The sequence below is a fragment of the Homo sapiens genome, chromosome 11 (assembly GCF_000001405.40).
Source record: "Homo sapiens chromosome 11, GRCh38.p14 Primary Assembly".
Lineage (NCBI taxonomy): Eukaryota > Metazoa > Chordata > Mammalia > Primates > Hominidae > Homo > Homo sapiens.
In genome coordinates, this window is record NC_000011.10 from 26,578,777 (window position 1) to 26,597,595 (window position 18,819).

At 40.6% G+C, this 18,819-nt stretch overlaps 1 protein-coding gene and 2 long non-coding RNA genes across 9 annotated transcripts in view; 1 reads left to right on the forward strand and 2 right to left on the reverse strand.

The window, feature by feature from the left end:
* ANO3 (anoctamin 3) overlaps nt 1-18,819 on the forward strand; it is a 474,482-nt gene that overhangs the window by 389,969 nt on the left and 65,694 nt on the right. The window lies entirely within an intron of this gene.
* On the reverse strand, nt 3,227-10,091 carry LOC124902648 (uncharacterized). Its single transcript, XR_007062627.1, has 2 exons — nt 10,012-10,091; nt 3,227-5,707 (listed from the first exon to the last, which is right to left on the reverse strand). It is a non-coding gene; the product is annotated as an uncharacterized LOC124902648 (long non-coding RNA).
* LOC107987160 (uncharacterized) lies at nt 10,366-18,398 on the reverse strand. The gene is made up of 2 exons (XR_001748157.2): nt 18,343-18,398; nt 10,366-13,183 (listed from the first exon to the last, which is right to left on the reverse strand). It is a non-coding gene; the product is annotated as an uncharacterized LOC107987160 (long non-coding RNA).

Genomic DNA, 18,819 nt, shown 5'->3' on the forward strand with positions numbered 1-18,819 from the left:
GATTCCTGCTATTAGAAGAATTCTGAAATAGAGCCTTTTCTTTCCAGCACTCAAGTGACTCTTCAACCTACAAATGGCAGCCTTGCAGGGAAATGAGACGGCTCTCTTCAACAATACGTGATATTCTGTTTTGTGGAGATACCATAACTGATTAATTCCTGTGAGATGAAGCGTACTGTTATAGCAGCTTTATTCTTTTAAAACCCTAATTTTGTTATATAGTCTAATCTGTTTAAGCAACTCTTGCCCAATTTATTAACTATCAACTATTTTTACATGGACTTAACTTATTAAGTGAGGTTACAACCAGGCATACATATATTGAAGTGGCAAAACTGACAGTTTGATAATATTATAACTTATCTTACCACTGCTAGGAAAAGATCCACATGATTTATTAATGCTTTCTAAAAAAGCACTTAAGGCAGGTAATTAGAAAATCCTGGCATATCTAATTTGTTTCTGTCTAGTTAGAAAAAGTTATTATAGCTAAATAATAACCTCAGCAGCAGAGTGTTCTCACCAACGAGCCATAACTTGAAGCAGATAGAGTGAGGAGAGAGTGAGATGCCTGGGAAGGTGTGTACACTCTGAGGAAGAATCTTGATTTGTTCCTTGGCTCAAAAGTAGGGACAGAAGGAAAAGGAAATTTATTCATGACCTGAAGAAGATTTTGAAATCAAGTCCACAGGCAGCAAATAACAATGACAAAAGACTTACTCATCCATTGAAAGGACTATACATACCTTAAACAATTTGCAGGGAACATTGAAAACATATGGTTAGCTAAGCTGACAGTTCATACAAGCTCTTTAGCTACAGAAAAGGAACTCAATTTTTGTGCTGAATTAGGAGAAAGCAACAGATTAGATATGCTAGGATTTTCTATTTATCTGCCTCACTTTTTGTTTGTTTAAAAAGCAAAAGAAAGTATTAAGTCACGTGGATCTTTTTTTTCATGAAAAAGATCCAGTTAAAGTTGTTATGAATCCCCTCTTTTAAATATAAGTACTTTAGTAACATTGAGGAGTCAGACAAACCTGGGGCAGAGTCGAGTTCACTTTTGAACAGCATTATTACCAGTAAAAGAGCAATAGAACAGTTTCTTACACATGAAGCTGGTATGAGGATGTAATGAGTAGACATGTGTAGAATATGTAACAACATGACTGGCACATAAGTTTCTAATGCATTATAGCCATTCATGAGAAGAGATATACAATTTTGGAAGCCCCTTTTAAGAAAAAGATTACAAAAATACCAATACAAAATGAGGTGCAAAAGTAATGAGAATGGAAAAAATCACAAATTTATAAATTTTTTAAAACTCCAAAATAACATACACAAAAAGCAAAATCCAGTAGGTTAAAAATATTTTAATCAACTGACTGCTAAACACATCTCTGTAATGCTTTTTGGGCTATATTTGTCTGCAAATTTAGAGATTTTAAATTATGTCTTTATATGATGTTTAAAAAATATTTTATAAAGGGAATATAAAAGTAATTCAGTCTTTCCTCTTTCTCTAGCATGGTTAATTCTGTTTTTATTATTGATAGTTTCAAAGTTTCTTTCAGCTTCATAATTCATCACTGGCAGTATTACGTACATTTTTAAGATTGTTGTGAATTTGGCAAAATCTCTAGTGTCTTTCATAGATTAGTTGAAATTTTTACAATTTCCTATAGTTTCTGGCTTCATGTATTCAGATCTTATTTCTCTTCCATTACCTGTGTTGGGCACCATAGAACATATGTAAATTAACATACCACTCCTGAATAGAGAGCCAAAAGAAGGCTCTGATAACTATTGTTTCAGGTGGGCCTTCTTTTGAGAAGTCTCCAAGTCTTTAACTCTTCTGATGAAAACAGTGCTTTCCTCTATATTCAGACATATTTAACTACACTATATCTACAAATTCAGATATAGTGTTCTCTTAAAAGAAATATTTTCAGACAATTAAGCTATGAGCATGGATCATAATCTTATGAGTTTTGCCATAAAGCAAAAGTCCTCTAACAGACCAATGCAAAGATTTATATCTTAGTAGAAATGTTTATTTAAAAAAAATGGTTAGTAAATATTATTAGACTCAGAAAGGAAAGCATGTCAAGTCACAGGCCTTTGAACTGCTGATTGATGGGCCACTGGTGGGATGAGCAGCTCACCTCCCAGAAGTTCCTTGTCTCATTTTGCTGTGTCAGAAACTTACGTAAACGTTTTATCTGTGATGCTAATTTCTTCCTAGAAAGAAGTTACAGATCATATAGCCAAGAAAGTTCTATTCCAAATTATGTTTGAAATAAACCATGGAAGAAATTCAGCATTCCAGCCAAGTAACTTCCTCACATAACTTAACCTCTAAGAGTCTCGGTTTGTTTATATAATGAGTGAGATGGATAATGTTTACTTAACCTGAGTTGTTTTGAAGATGATGTGACTTAATGTAAAAATATCTAGCACAAACTCAAGGACATTGTAAGTCCTCAGTAAATGCCAGTTCTCTTCTTTGGAAATATGGTGCAATTCCCTTTTTTTTTTTTTTGTATGCTCACTATAATGATGAACATACATAAGTTTAGGATTAAATTATTGACTCTAGAGGCAGCAGTCTTAAATACAAAAGGAGAAGGCCGGACACTTGGTTCACGCCTGTAATCCTAGCACTTTGGGAGGCCAAGGCAGGTGGATCACCTGAGGTCAGGAGTTCGAGACCACCCTGGTCAACATGGTGAAACCCCGTCTCTACTAAAAATACAAAAATTAGCTGGGCATGGTGGCACGTGCCTGTAGTCCCAGCTATGTGGGAGGCTGAGGCAGGAGAATTGCTTGAACCTGGGAGGCGGAAGTTCCAGTGAGCCAAGATCACACCATTGCACTCCACCTTGGGCGACACAGCAAGACTCTGTCTCAAAAAAAAAAAAAAAAAAAAAAAGGAGAAAAGAAACAAGATGCCATGCCATTTCCTAGGTCATGAACAAAAGATGGAAAGTATCATGTGGAAACTGACTGGTTGTGACTGAATTTTTATAAAAGTGAAACAATTGAAATATAAATAATTGACAATATCTCCGTTCTCCCTGTCAGAAAATTATCTTCATGCAGGGGAAACCAAGACAAAGTTCTTGGTATGTGTAACAACTAGAGTGTTAAGAAAATTGGTTATTATAATTTATTATGGCCTTCCAGTGGATTAAGCATAGACTACTTACAAATTGTCTCTCAATTTGTACAACACTCTTATGAATACAGTTTTATTATTCTCATATTAAGTAGTAACAGCAGAATTTTATCATCATTTAGTAATTTGTCCAAGGTCAGATGATTAGAAATATATGCACCTTTCAAACCCAGAACATCCCTACTCTAATCCATGGTCTTTGTTCAGTACCACACTGCTGTTCCTGTATGTTCTGAGGAGCATTATTACTTAATCAAAAAGATAATTTTCATTGCATTTATTTTAAAGGTGAAGTCAGTAATTTATTTTATAGTGATCGGTGTTTACTTACGGTGACAAGTACATTCTAACTGAGGTACTATATCCAGTTCCAGATAAATACATATAGGTTGAAAAGGCAAATATTAGGGCTCTAGTACTGGCCACTTTGAATAGACGAAGACCTTAGTTCTGGAGCAGTTTTCTAGAGTCACAAGTTGTTCCAGGGACTGACTATACAGGTATCTGGTCCTGGTGAAAGTTTCCTGGGAAGGATAGGCTAGCCAGTAAGGAGATGGAAGTCTTTAAGGAGCTTAGTTGTAGTTTCAGTTTTTGTTTTTTCCTTTGTAAATTAACAATTAGTATGGCCATACTTCTGAGTATCAGCAAGGTGTCAGTCCTGAATATACTGCTCAAGAAAACATACTTTGGATAGAAATACTCAAATTTTAATAGTAGCTGTTTATTCATGGTGGGATTGTTAGTGACTTTTATTTTCTTCTTTATACTTTTAATTAATTATTTCAACATATATTAATTAAAGGCCAACTGTATGGCATGCACTCCTCTATCCCTAGATTTCAGAAGTAAATAAGACAAGGTGCTTACTCCTGTTATTTTTGTTGATGTTACATTTTTAATTAGAAAATATTCAACTGAATTAAAGAAAGTATATCAAATCATTGGATGGTAAGATGAGGAAAAGGCTTGAGAAAAATTAATATTGTGCTTTAAAAGATTATATTGCATTTATGAAAAATACATGGCAAAAAGCTGAGTAGTTTATCAAGTGTGGACACCTCCAATATTTTAGCAATTCAATTGAGAGTATTCAATTTGAATAAATGCTACTGAAATGTCTATTTAATATGCAAATGCCAATACAATATTGAGTGACCACAAGAGTTACCTTTAGAGGGACTCTGCTTCCAAGTTAAGAGTCTGCTCTGGTCAAGATTGAGTGAGAGTTCTCATTGTAATTTAATAAACATGATGATGCTTACATGTAGCTTCTTATTTCTTCAAGAAATTTGCAAGGCGGGGGAAAGATGTCAAGTCTGATTTCAGAAATTGTCAAAGACTTTCAATACTTAGGCTTCAAATGCTGGCTTTACAATCTTCTTTCTTATTTAACGTTTTTAGAGAAATGAAGGAAAGGGAAATTTGAAGTAAAATTAGAGAGAGATTCCATGTCCTTGGACAGAGGAAATTTAACAAGACAAGCAGGTTTTGACCAACCAGTTCCAGATATTGCGCTGTGTCAAATACAGTTCGGTCCAAATGTTCAAAATCTGCCGCTGCACACATATTTACAGGCTCTTCGTATCAATTAGTCTACTTTGTGCTCATGTAGAGAACTCCATGCATTACATTTCTATAAGGTGTTAACCAAAAAGACCGAGGAATTTTCCCCAGGCATGGAGATGTACAATGTCCCATATTCATGGCACTTTTGCCAAACGCAGAACCTGTTTAGCAAGGTTTCTGTTTCTACCTCATGTGTAGTGGTGTTGCAATAGTGCATTGGGAAAGCACATTATGCTTGAGGATGATGCTGAAAATAAACCTGGGGAATGGAGGAGTCTTAAGTAGTACTTGGGTGCTGTCCAAACTGGCAATCTGAGTTGTTGCTCTGATAAACTATTGTTTCAACTGGGCCTTCTTTTGAGAAGGCTTCAAGTCTTTAACTGTTCTGATGAAAACAATGCTTGGAGTTCCTTTTTTCTCCGTATTCAGACATATTTAGCTTCATTTGTGTTTGAACTGACCCCTTTCCCTGACCCCTTCTAATCAACCATATTAAAAGTATAGTACCGTGGTTTTCAAAACTTGTTAAGCAATAATTATTTTTTCAACTAGAATTGATCTTGATTGTTCAATATATAAAACAGATAAAGAAGGGGCTTCCCTGGTGAGATTCTGTCTTGTTTTTTTGTTTGTTTGTTTGTTTGTTTGTTTGTTGAGATGTAGTCTCACTCTATCGCCAGGCTGGAGTGCAATGGCATGATCTCGGCTCACTGCAACCTCCGCCTCCTGTGTTCAAGCAATTCTCCTGCCTCAGCCTCCCATGTAGCTGGGATTACAGGTGTCTGCCACCATGCCCGGCTAATTTTTGTATTTTTAGTAGAGACAGGGTTTCACCATGGTGGCCAGGCTGGTCTCCAACTCTTGACCTCTGGTGATCCGCCCACCTCACCCTCCCAAAGTGCTGGGATTATAGGCCTTCCTGTATTGCCAATGAGATTCCTTGAAGCATAATTTGAAAACCTGGAATAATGGAAAGATGACAAGACCAGGAGTTACATTATGACTGGATTCTATTCAAAAATTCAGTTCAATTTGATGAACATTTATTGAGCATTTTCAGTGTGTCAAGCACTAAAAAAGCTAAGGAAAAAAAGACTAAAAAAACTTCAAGTGTAGTAAAAATCATGTATAAGAACAAGTGTAATAAGTGATAAAAAAGTGCTGAAGATGCACAAGCTCACTGATATATTTCAACCACCTGGGCCTTGTTTTCTTTAGATTTAAAATAAATAGCTTAGAACAAACCACCTGCAGCATCTAACCTCCCTTATATTTGTGACTCTATGATTCTGATAGTCTGTGCTGTGAACTGTAAACTGAGGAAATGGAGCTATAAGAACTAAGTGCAGCCTGTTCATCTTTGAAATTTTTTTAAGTTGAGAAGAGGGTGTCACTGCTGTCAGAGAGGCAGGTGTGAAAAGTAAATATAATGTGTAGTTGCTAAGGAACAGAGTTATGCTTTATTGTCTTCAGCTTTTCTGGAATATCCCTTTCACCTCCATGAGTCATGTCAAACCTGGCTTTCCCCTGATAACAAAAATGTCCTTCTCCTATGGAGGCCTCTGATCCTCTGACTCCATCTCCAAACCAGTTTCACAGGACCAAAGAAAGGAGCTGATAAACTTTCCAGAGTGGTTAAAAAGAACATAGGCAGCACACATTTCTTTGTACAATGTCTACTATGAACAAAGTGAAAATGCTCCCTAATCCACTTCCCACAAACAATTAGTACTAATGCTTTGAGAGAGAGAGATATATCATATATATATAGGCATTATTTATATATCTAGATTTGTCAGTCTACCTACCTATATATATAAGCCTTCCCCATACCTATATCTGATTTGGTATTTCATTCTTTATAAATTTAATGACTTTCATTTTATACACTTTCATTTTTAAGTATCTTTATTTTAATATTTAACAAGTTTAATACACTCCCTCCCCTCCTCACCATCCCTCTGTTGCCATCTTTATTTTGAGCCATTGTTCCTTTGCTCTTATATATCAGATTTCTGTGCTTTGAACCCCATGCTATTTCATTTCTGCTGTTTTTTCTACATCCCTATCTACCTATCTCCAGGATACTTCTTTATTGATGACACTCAAAGCGTGTTCTCAGATTTTCATTCCCACCTATCAGAACCTATTTCATGTCTATCCAGGGAAGCATTGTATGGTAGACAGAGTATGAGTATTAGAGTTAGGATGACTTTGGTTCCTATCATCCATGTGACTTCAGCAAGTCACTTAACCTCTCAGTACTCCAAATTTCTCATATGTTAAACTGAAGGTTAATAACAATAGCCATTTTATGAAACATTTCATGTACACCTCGTACATGTAGTTCCCGTTCAGATTTTTATTGACTGTTAAGAGAATGGGTGTTATAGATGTTAGAAGTAATTTATCTAAAGTGATTATTAAAATACTTTATAAATAATTGGAAGTCAAAACAAAATGACAGCATTATTTCTCCTGGCTTGACCTTATAGTTTTTGTATTGAGGTTCTACCACCTCAGTAACCATGACTTTGACTGCTCTTCTACCTCTTCCATCAGCACAACTGCTTATTCTCTAGGCTACTCTGATCAACCCTGGCTGCACATTGGAAGTCTTTGGGAGCTTTAAAAAGTACTGATGATGGGGTATTGTTCCTGGAGATTTTGACTTAATTGGTCTAAAGTGTATCTTGAGCATTGAAATTTTTTGAAGCTCTAAAATATTGAAATATGTAAATCCCCCTGATTCAGTTAGTTTGTCAGTTCTTCCAACTGCTCAGTTCTCACCCCTGATTTTATCTGGGGCTGTCGTTAATGCTCCTGTATTCTTTTTTTTTTTTTTTTTTTTTGAGACGGAGTCTCACTTTGTCGTAAGACAAATAATTATTGTTGAGCAATAAATATTTTTTCAACTAGAATTGATCTTGATTGTTCAATATATAAAACAGATAAAGAAGGGGCTTCCCTGGTGAGAATCTTTTTTTTTTTTTTTTTTGAGACATAGTCTCATTCTATCGCCAGGCTGGAGTGCAGTGGCGCGATCTCGGCTCACCGCAAGCTCCGCCTCCCATGTTCACGCCATTCTCCTGCCTCAGCCTCCCGAGTAGCTGGGACTACAGGCGCCCGCCACCACACCCGGCTAACTTTTTTGTATTTTTAGTAGAGAGGAGGTTTCACCGTGTTAGCCAGATGGTCTCGACCTCCTGACCTCTTGATCCACTTGACTCGGCCTCCCAAACTGCTGGGATTACAGGATGAGCCACCACGCCCGGCCTCTAATGCTCCTGTATTCTTTTAATCTGCTGCTTGCTTCAGAGACCACCTGATCCAGCCAGGAGCCCAGAGTTAACTATGCATGCCAAACTTTTCACCAGAAATTATAATAAAATGGATTATAAGATACTTTATTCAAAGTCATAGATTCGTAGAGTTTTTCACAGATTTCTGTTTCCTCTTGAAATTCCCATGTCCATTACTCAGTTTTGATCAAGATGGCAGCTCAACCCCTTTTCTCATCCTCTTTTCCTCTGCTATCAAGGATGAGATTAAATTCATGTAATCCTTCTGAGAGAACAGTCACTGAATTGAGACCCTAACAATTTTTGCCCTCCATCTCACATTTCCATCAGTTGGAACCCACTATTTATGCCAGAGTAGACAAAATGTGAGGCAGTGAGTCAAATCTGGCGGATGACTTAGGGCAGTGTAGAGCTTTATTTCATCATGTATGATTGAAATTTGGGTGTGTCTAGATGAACTAAGCACTTTTTATGTTTAGGGTCGGCCCCAGCCTTTCCTCCTATGTTTATACAAAGCCACATCCATTTACATACCTGAGAGAACCTTGAGATCACCTAAGCTGGGTGCTTCTGCTTCATCTGTTTGCTTAGATCTTGGCATAAATAGAAGCCCTTTCTCCTTTCCAAGGCTGGTTAATGCAACTGTTCTAGAGAACTGTACAGACATTTTTATTGTTCAGCCTACCCTTCAAATCCAAGCTGGTTGCCTGTGTTCATAACTTAGGTTTGCAACCACCCTGGAACTGACTGTGGAATGGCATATGGTCATCCCATCTTCCTGCTTTCTTTTCAGCCCCTCACTGCAAGATAGGTCCCACTACTGCTAAGCACGAGAGTTAAAAAGGTTGGGGCCAGGTGCGGTGGCTCACACCTGCAATCCTAGCACTTTGGGAAGCCAAGGCAGGAGGATTGCCTGAGCTCAGGAGTTCAAAACCAGACTGGACAACTTGGTGAAACCCTGTCTCAACTAAAATTAAAAAAATCAGTGGACATGGTGGTGTGCACCTCTAGTCTCAGCTACTCAGGAGGCTGAGGCAAGAGAATCACTTGAACCCAAGAGGCAGAGGTTGCAGTGAGCCGAGATCATGGGTGACAAAGTGAAACTCTGTCTCAAAAAAAAAAAAAAAAAAAAGTACTTAAAAAGGTTCGGAAAGCAAAGAGGGTTTTCATTAGAATCAAGTCATATAATCTTTTTAATCACTGATTATTTAAAAAATTATTTTCTGTAATTTTTAGGTATAATTTGCATAAGAGTGAAATCCACAGATTCTAAGAACAGTATGGTCACTTCTGAAAAATAAATGAACTTGTATAACCACCGTCACCCCTGTTAAAACATAGATTACAATGCCTCAAGAGTTCTTGAGCCTCTTGCCTGTCAACCACTGTTTTAACTTTCAAAGTTAGCTATTTGTATTATTAATTGTATCTTTACTAATAATTTTAGTAGGGATTAGTAAATAACAATTTATTTCAATTAGTGTTTTGCATACTCAATTTTTCTGTATACCTTTTTCTAATTAACAATTTTAAAAAGTGAGAATGTGGATTACCTGAAAGTTGAGATAAATAAGCCATTAATAAAATACATATATCTCCAGCTGAGCATGGATTTTTAACAAAGGTTACCTCAATATTAAAATTGAAAGTGGACACCCTACTTTCTGAGAAAGATTCAATATATTTTCTGTAATGCTATTACCTTCAAGCTAAAATTGCACCAAATTCAAGATTACCTTTATTTTTTATATTTTGTGAAAGATGTTTTTTGCTCAAGTATATGCTGGAAATATAAATTAAGAAGAAAGCATGTGACAGACACATTTAAACTTTAAGCCTTGACAGAGACCAATGATAATTAGGATTTGATTGAGCATTCTAAATGTTGTACACTACATTAAAAAACCTTAAGTCCCAGCCTAGGAATCACTGTATGTTGTACTTGCTTACTTAATATTGTACCTTTTTTTCAGTTTTTGCTTTTCTTTGTAGCTCTTCTCCTATTTACTTCCTCTATATTCCACTTTCCTCTTAAGTTTTAAATGTTTCATTTGGTAACAGTGATTCTGGTCTGCTATTTGAAAGCAGATCCAGTGCTTGGAGATTCTAATTTTTCCTGCAGACAATAATTTTCGGCTGTTTTGCCTCTTTTAGTCGTTTGTACTCTTTTAAAACTGCTGAAAATCAGTAGAGAGTAATGACTTATGGTAGTCCTGGGGAAAAAACAAAAATCAGAACACCAACCAACCAACCAACAAAAACCAGCCTGAGGAATGTACCAGCCAGGCATTGTGGGTGGAGAGTAACTAGCAAGAGTTTTGGTCCTGGCTCTGCCATTTATTGTCTGTGTCACAGCCAATTAGCATCTTTGCTTCCAAAATCCACATGATGATAACATTTGCCATATCTCTTTGTAAATGTTAAGAGAGTGACAATGAATTTAAAACATATGTGAGAGAGGGCTTTGTAAATGTCATAAAAGGTAAGAAAATGCAACTATGAACATTGTATTTTTTTTCTAACCAATACTGGTGCTGATTTTTAGTTACAAAGAAAGAAGGAGAAAAAACCTCAGTACCCCAATTTTCTTTTTTTTTTTTTTTAGTTTCTACAAATAATTTATTGGAATATAATTTGCACCCATTTAAAGTGTCCAATTCAATGGGTTTTTTGCATATTCACAGAGCCGCACAACCCTCACTACAATCAATGTTTGACCATTTTCATTACCCCAGAAGAAAGCAGGTCCCTGTTAACAGTCACTCCCTATTTTCCCCCAAAAGTCCCTGCCCCTGGCCACCACCAATCTATTTCCTGACTGTGGATTTGCCTACCTTGGGCATTTCATGTAAGCAGATCACACAATATGTGAGCAGATCATACATGAGCAGACCATACAATACATGATCCTTCCTGTCCGGCTCCTCTCACTTAGCCCTGTGTTTTCAAGGTCCTTCTATGCTGTAGTAAACATCCGTGCATCATTCCATGCATGGGTGCATACTTCATTTCTTTCTATTGCTGAATAACATTCCATTGTAGGGATACGCAATCTGTATTTCTCTATTCACCAGTTGCTTCAACATTTGGTTTCTACTGATCTGATTTTCCCCCAATCCAGTTTTCACCACACACAGAACCAAAGGATTGTGTAAGAGAAGCTGATAAGAGGATCTATAGAGAGCTCGTGACATTTCTGACCTTCTCCAAGGTTAGAAACCAACAGGGATAACATCTCTGCCCTTTACCCTCTAAGAGAATAGATGATGCTTTGAGGGTTAAAGGATACAACGTTTAGAACCTCTCCCTGATGAAACAAACAAACAAACCCAGATGTCTGCTTAGTAGCAAAAGAAAGAGAATAGGAGGTAGGAGTTGCCGTAAAGTAGAATAAAGGGAAAAAGAGAAACTCATATTTGTCAAATATATTATTGCCAGTATCAGGCCTTTTATGGCGATTATTCCTTTTAATTCTCATAAATACTCAACAACTTATATGATGTGATATTTACTGCTTTCATTTTATAAATTAAAAAATTGAGGCCTAAGGAGTGTTAGTTGTTTGCCACACACAGGCAGCTACAAAGCAGTTGGGCTTATCCAGCTGTTACCAGCAGGTCTTTGTTCTTAGAGCTCCCAAGATGGTGGCAGGCCACTCCCAAGATGGGGTGGGCTGCTCCCAAGATGGCGGCAAGACTTTTGTTCTCTGACCTGGGGTTCTTGGCCTCACGGATTCCAAGGAATGGAACCTTGGGCCCTGTGGTGAGTGCTATAGCTCTATTAGAAGCCGTGGGTCATGGAAGAGAACTGTGGAACCCAGTGACTAGTGTTCAGCTCAATTAGGACGAACCCGAGCACTTAGCCATGTGGGAACAATGACAAGCCTCTAGCTGGATCCAGAGCGGCAAAGGGCGCCTCGCTGGATCAGGAGCACAGCGGACACCCTGCTGGATCCGGAGGGGTGGAAGTCAGTGGCGGGTCTGCAAATGGCAGTGGTGGACGGCAAGCGAAAGCTCAGCTTGAGCCGTAACAAACACGGACCAGAAGAGTGTGCAGCTGCAAGATTTAGTAGAGTGAAAACAGAGCTCCCATACAATGGGAGGGGACCCAAAGGGGGTTGCCCACTCCCGTCTCGAATGCCTAGGGTTTATATCCCGAATATTGTCCCTCCCCCACGCTCTCAGGCAATATATGATTTGACTATTTCTTTACCTCCTGCTTTTAGCCTAATTGGTATTTTAGTGAGTCCTCTTTACTACCTAATTGGTTGGGTGTGAGGTGAGTTACAAGCCCCGTGTTTAAAGGTAGGTGCGGTCCCCTTCCCCAGCTAGGCTTAGGAATTCTTAGTCAGCCTAGGAAATCCAGCTAGTACTGCCTCTCAGTCCCCACTCTCAACAGGAAAACTCAAGTGATGTTGGGGAGGTTGGCCAACGACCGCTCTTAACTGCTTCCTGCTGAATTGGGGCGTAGTAGGGGTCGTGCAGTTGAGATTTCCTCAGGAGGGGTGCCTTTGATGTCATTAACATCAGAGCATGGGCTAGCAGGCTGGTCCAGGGGTCTGCAGTAGATCTTAGTCATGGACTGCATCTGGGGCTCCATTTGAAGAACCATTTGTAGTTTTACAACTTCGATTCTGGAAGAGACATACTTAACAAGGAGGTTAAAGATACAGGGATTGAAATGTATGGCCTGAAGTGCAGGGGTATATGGTTGTGGGTGGTGAAAGTGGGGTCTCCTTTAGAAAAACCCCTATACGATGGGACATCAATATTTCTGGGAAGCCACATTCTCCATAGAACCTCTTGGTAAGAGGAGCTACTGGTAGTACAGCAGCATGGAGGAAGTGAAGTGAGAGTGAAAGGGGGTAAGAGAACAGTAAAAAGAAAAATGTGACAAAGGAGGGCCATGGGGATCCACGATTCTAGTTACTTTCCTCATGGTTGTCGCTTGAAGAGCAGGTGCAGATCCTCTAGAGGTTCACAGGAATACCCAGCATTGTCTCCTGGATTTTCGGGCTCCTTTGGCAGTATCCAGGGTTTGACTTGAGCGTGATGTATCCAAGACTCCACTCCAGCCACTTTAACCATGGTTGGGGTAGATAAAATGACTGGGTAGGGTCCTTCCCAGGATGTATCTAGGGATGGGGAACTAGAGGGAAGGGACTTGACTAATACCATGTCACCAGGGTGGAATAATTCCTTTCCCTCCTCTCAGGGACAGGTTCCCTGTAATGTTTTAAGAACTTGTTGACATTTAGCTAAGGAGGTGATGTCTTCAATTAAGTTGGCTCTCTCTTGGTCAAACACAAGGTCATTGGTTAGGAAGGGCCATCCATACAGCATCTTGTATGGACTAAGTCACACTTTTGGGAGAGAGTTACGGATTCTTAGTAAGGCTATAGGCCACAGAGCAGGCCATGCGAGGTGGGTTTCTTAGGTTAGCTTTTTTAGATGTTGTTTGAGTGTTTCTTTCATTTTCTCGGCTTTTCCTGAGGATTGTGGCCTCCAGGTGCAGTGTAAGTGATATTGTATGCCTAACACCTGGGATACTCCCTGGGTTACTGAAGCCTTGAAAGCGGTGCCATTGACACTCTGTAAGCCTTGGGGAAGTATGAATCTGGGAATTATTTCATGAATTAGTGCCTTTATTACCTCTTGGGCCTTTTCTGTCCTACAAGGGAAGGCCTCTGCCCAACCAGTGAAAGTATCTACCCAGACTAGTAGATACTGAAATCCCTGAGATTTGGGCATGTGGGTAAAATCTAGTTGCCAGTCTTCTCCTGGGTAATGGCCTGTTCTTTGTTCTCCTGAAGGAGCTTGGTGATAAGGCAGGGGATTATTTCTTTGGCACACTTCACAGGCCCTGACTATCTGCTTGATAGTTTTGAAAAGGCCTGGTCCAGTAAATAATGTTTTGGCCATCTGATGGGTGCTATCAATGCCTAAGTGAAAGGTTTGGTGAAGGTTTTTAAGTAATTTCCGTTGGTTAGCTGCAGGCAAAAGTATTTTTCCTTCTTAATGGGCTAGACATCCTGAGGGGAGGAAACTATGTCCTCTCGTGAGTTTCCCCATTCTGTTTCTTTTGCTGAGTACTGGGGCTTGGTTTCCCGGAGGGGATTACTCCATATGAGGGGTCCTTCTATAAGCATTTCTAATGGAGGGTACCGCCTTACAGTTCTTTTGTCTTCAATATCTGCTTGGTGGTTCCCTTCTATTTCCCTTTCCTTTCCTTTCTGATGACCCTGGAAGTGTAAGACTGCCACCTCTTTAGGTTTCTGTACAGCCAATAATAGTCTCCTAATGGCTTCCTGATGTTTGATAGATGTTCCCTCGGAAGTTAGGAATTCCCTTTCTCTCCATATTGCTGCGTGGGCATAGGGGACTAGGTAAGCATACTTAGAGTCTGTATACATATTTACCCTTTTTCCTTCTCCTAATTCAAGTGTATAATGGCCCCTGCTTTTGCTAGGATGTCTCTCTCTAACAAAGGAGTGGGGCTTTCAGGCATAATTAGAAAGGCATGTGAAAAGAGTAAAGTTCCCCAGTCACAACTTAGTGTCTGGGAGAAGTATCTAGTGATTGCCTGTCCTAGGACCCCTTGGATAGTGACAGATCTGGAGGACAGATGTCCGGGGCAGGACAGTAAGACTAAGAAGGCCGCGCCAGTGTCCTGGGGACAGTTAAACTCCTGGCCCTCAATGGTCAAGCATACCCGGGGCTCTGTGAGGGTGATGGCATGGGCTGGCGCTTGCCCTGGGCACCCTCAGTCCTGCTGCTGGATCATCTGGTTAGTGGCTTCTGACCCAGAGGACCTTCATTCCCTGGGGAAGTGGGCCTTCCAGTGATTCCCTTCACATAAGGGGCATGGACAAGGAGGTGGCTTATTTCTATTTGGACAATCTTTTTTAAAGTGTCCGTGTAGGCCGCAGTGGAAGCAAGCCCTATTAGGCATGTGATTTGCCCAGCCTTTCCCTGTTCCAGAGCCTCCAAAGTCCGCTTGCCGAGGGCCATGACTAAAGCGGTGGCCTTCTTTTTATCCTGTTCGTCCCGTTCCGCCTGCTCTTCCTGATCTCTATTATAAAAAACCAAGGTTACCAAGTTAAATAGGGTTTCTAAGTTTTGCTCGGGGCCTAAGGCGGACTTTTGAAGTTTTTTTCTAATGTCTGCAGCTGACTGAGTGATAAGCTTATCCTTTAAGATTACCTGGCCGTCAATAGAGTCAGGTGACAGAGAGGTATGCTTCCCCAATGCCTCCCTTAGTCTCTCCAGGAAGGCAGTAGGATTTTCTTCCTTTCCCTGTGTTATAGTGGACATCATTGAATAATTCAAAGTCTTCTTCCTAGTTTTCCTTAGTCCTTCTAGCATGCAAGTTAGCAAATGTCTGCGGCACCAATCTCCATCTTCTGATTTTGCGTCCCAATGAGGGTCTACACTGGGAACTGCCTGCTGGCCTGTGGGGAATCATTCTCTTTCCTCTGTTGTCATCCTATCATTGAACTGACTGAGACGCCAGAGATCACCAAACTCTCGGGCTGCAGCTATGGCGGCACTTCTCTCATTTGGAGTTAGTGCCTGATTTAGCAGTAACATTATATCTCTCCATGTCAGATCAAAGGATTGTCCTAACCCTTGTAAAACATCAATATAGCCATCAAGGTTATCTGAGAATTCACCTAGGTCTATTTTAATTTGCTTCAAGTCTGAGAGGGAAAAAGGTACATGCACTCTGACTGGGCCAAATTCTCCTCCTCCCACCACTTGGAGGGGGCGTAATCGGGTAATACTGGCACTCTTGGGTTCATTGTTTACCCCTTTGTCTATCTCTTTTTGGACTGTTTGGGTTGAAGGGGGGTCTTTATTAGTTGGGGAAGGAGCTGGGAGAACACCAGGGCAGGGAGGTAGACTCTGAGGGCTTCCTGTAGGGCATAAATTACACTTTTTACATAATTGAGAGTTTTCTCTTAATGAAAAGAAAGTTTGCACATATGGCACTTCACTCTATTTGCCCTCCTTTCTACAAAGGAGATCTAGCTGTAAGATGATGTTATAATATATACTTCCCTCAGGGGGCCAGGTTTCTCCCCCTTGAAGAGTATATTGTGGCCTGGCGGGACTGCAGAAGAATATAAGTTGTTTCTTTCTTAGCGTATGAGGGTCAAATTGGTCCCAATTCTCCAGAATACATCTTAGGGGCATTTTTGCCTTGGGGGGAATGTTTCCCATCTGAAAAAAGAACATAGGGATGCCAGGATCCCCAGTCATTTTCCAATGAGCTTTAGTCCTAGAGCGTCCTCTATGGTGTTAATGCTTATTCCTTTCCAGGGTGTGTAACCAACCATGGACCTCTGCTTATCGGATTAGTTACACTCACCAGTGTAGCAGTCCTGCACCCTTTTTCCTGCCTTTCTTGACCACAAAGAAAGGGGTCCAGGCTGCTGGATTCTAGTGGTCCTTTACCAGCATGCCCAACATTGCCTTTGGCTCAGGGGTGAGTCCTAGAGCTGGGCTGGATTCCTGAGTACTTCAAACAACCCAGCTGCCCCATCCAGATTCATTCCCATAAACAACAGTTCTTATGCGAATTCGTTTTGGAGAGGGTGTAGGTAAACTTTTGACTCAGTATTGAGATAGAGTTGTTTTTTTTTTTTTTTTTTTTTTTTTTTATTCTGTAAGTACTTTAAGGCTTGGCTGAGTGCAAACAGCTCACACGTTTGAGCAGACCAATTATTAGGCAATTCTCCTAACTCTGCTTCCACAAGAGTCTCCCTATCAATTACTGAATACCCATTGTGGTTTTTTCTCAATCACCCGGGAGGAACCATCTGTCGTCCTGAAGGGAGTTCCTCCTAGGTCTGATCGGACTTTGTATGGTAATTAAGATTGAAATCCCCTGTTAGGAAATCTGCTGGGTTAAGAGAATTTTCAGTGGTTAGTGTTAAATCACCTTTTTCTAACAGAATAGCCGCATACTTTAAGATTTTTGAGTTAGTAAGCTACTTTTTTGCTTTTTTTGATTTAGGATAGCTCTGAACTGGTGAGGTGTGCTCACAATGAGGTTTCCTCTAAAGGTTATTTTTCTACTTTCTTCTGTTAGCAAGACAGTTGCCGCTACCAATTGAATGCATTTGGGCCATTCGCGGGTTACTGAGTTAAGAATTTTTGATAGGAAGGCTATGGGTTGTCAGTGGTCTCAGTGTTTTGGGCTATGCCCTTGTTTACATTGACAACAAGGTAATATTGGAGTGTTATAGGGTCACGGAGAAGACCTTCAATTATCAATTACAGGTTTTAAATTTACCCTGGCTTTTAAAGGAATAGGGCACACTGTTTTTCCTTTACTATTTCTATCTTTCTCTTTCTCTCTTTCTTCTTTGACTTTCTGTCTCTCTCTGTTTGACTCATCTTTTGTCTCTGTTTCTTCCTCTCTCTCTCCCTCTCTGCCTCTCTCTTTCTCCTCTCTGCCTCTGTAGAAGGATTTTGGAAACATAGTGGAAGGACATTCGCTTGTTGCCCCCATTTGCCACTATAGGAATATGTGCCTCCCTTTAATTTACTCAATTCATTTTCAACCTGATCTATTATGTTGTTGTAGACCCAGTTCCAGTTGTTAAAGTACTGGGTTATCAATTCTAAGGCCCTGGCAAGGGTGGTGGGGAACGGGTCCCACATAACTGCCCATGTCGAGAGCTGTATGCCTGAATTGGGAGAGTCACCAGGGCCAAGACTCCCTGGGTTCATTGCCTAGGTGCTTAAGGACACAGCGTAGAGCTTCCTTAGATCCCTTTGGAGATACAACCTGCTCTAATACTTGGGAACGGAAGTGAAAGTCTGAAGCATTAGTACCTAGGAGGCAGGGATCAGAGGAAGTAGATTCAGAGGTAAGGAGAATTTTGGGGCTACACTTTCAAGAAAGTCATGGTTAGGACCCAGGAGATATGGGTCAGAAGGAGAGGTAGGGGCACACACATGGGCAACTGTTGAGTAGAGACTTCTGGCTGTGCAATGATCTCCACCGGCCAATGCCAGGAGTTCAGGACGACAGCTTTCTGCCTCTAGCCGACCCTCGGCTTCCCTAGGAAAATTGTGAAAGCAGAAGCTGGTTCCAGGCAGAACAAAGCTCCCAACACAGAAGGGTTGGGGGTTGTTAGAAAGCTTTTTCCCAGGAAACCTCACACCTGAGTCCAGCAGCCACGCTAATCGTTTTTAACTGGCTGATGGGTGCCCGGTTATTTTCCTCCAATTCTAAGGAAGGATAGGACAGAATAGCAAGTGAAAGTGGTTCAGTATTACTCACCGCTTTGGAGAAGCGCCGTACGGGCCACCAAATGTTACCGGCGGGTCTTTGTTCTTAGAGTTCCCAAGATGGTGGCAGGCCACTCCCAAGATGGGGCGGGCTGCTCCCAAGATGGCAGCAAGCCTTTTGTTCTCTGACCTGGGGTTCTTGGCCTCACGGATTCCAAGGAATGGAACCTTGGGCCATGCGATGAGTGATATAGCTCTATTAGAAGCCATGGGTCACAGAAGGAACCATGGAACCCAGTGACTAGTGTTCAGCTGGATTAGGACGAACCTGGGCACTTAGCCGTGCAGGAACAACGGCAAGCCTCTAGCTGGATCCAGAGCGGCAATGGGCGCCTCGCTGAATCAGGAGCACAGTGGACACCCTGCCGGATCTGGAGGGGTTGAAGTCAGCGGTGGGTCTGTGACAGTGGCAAACAGCAGTGGTGGACAGCAAGCAAAAGCTCAGCTCGAGCCGTAACAAACACGGACC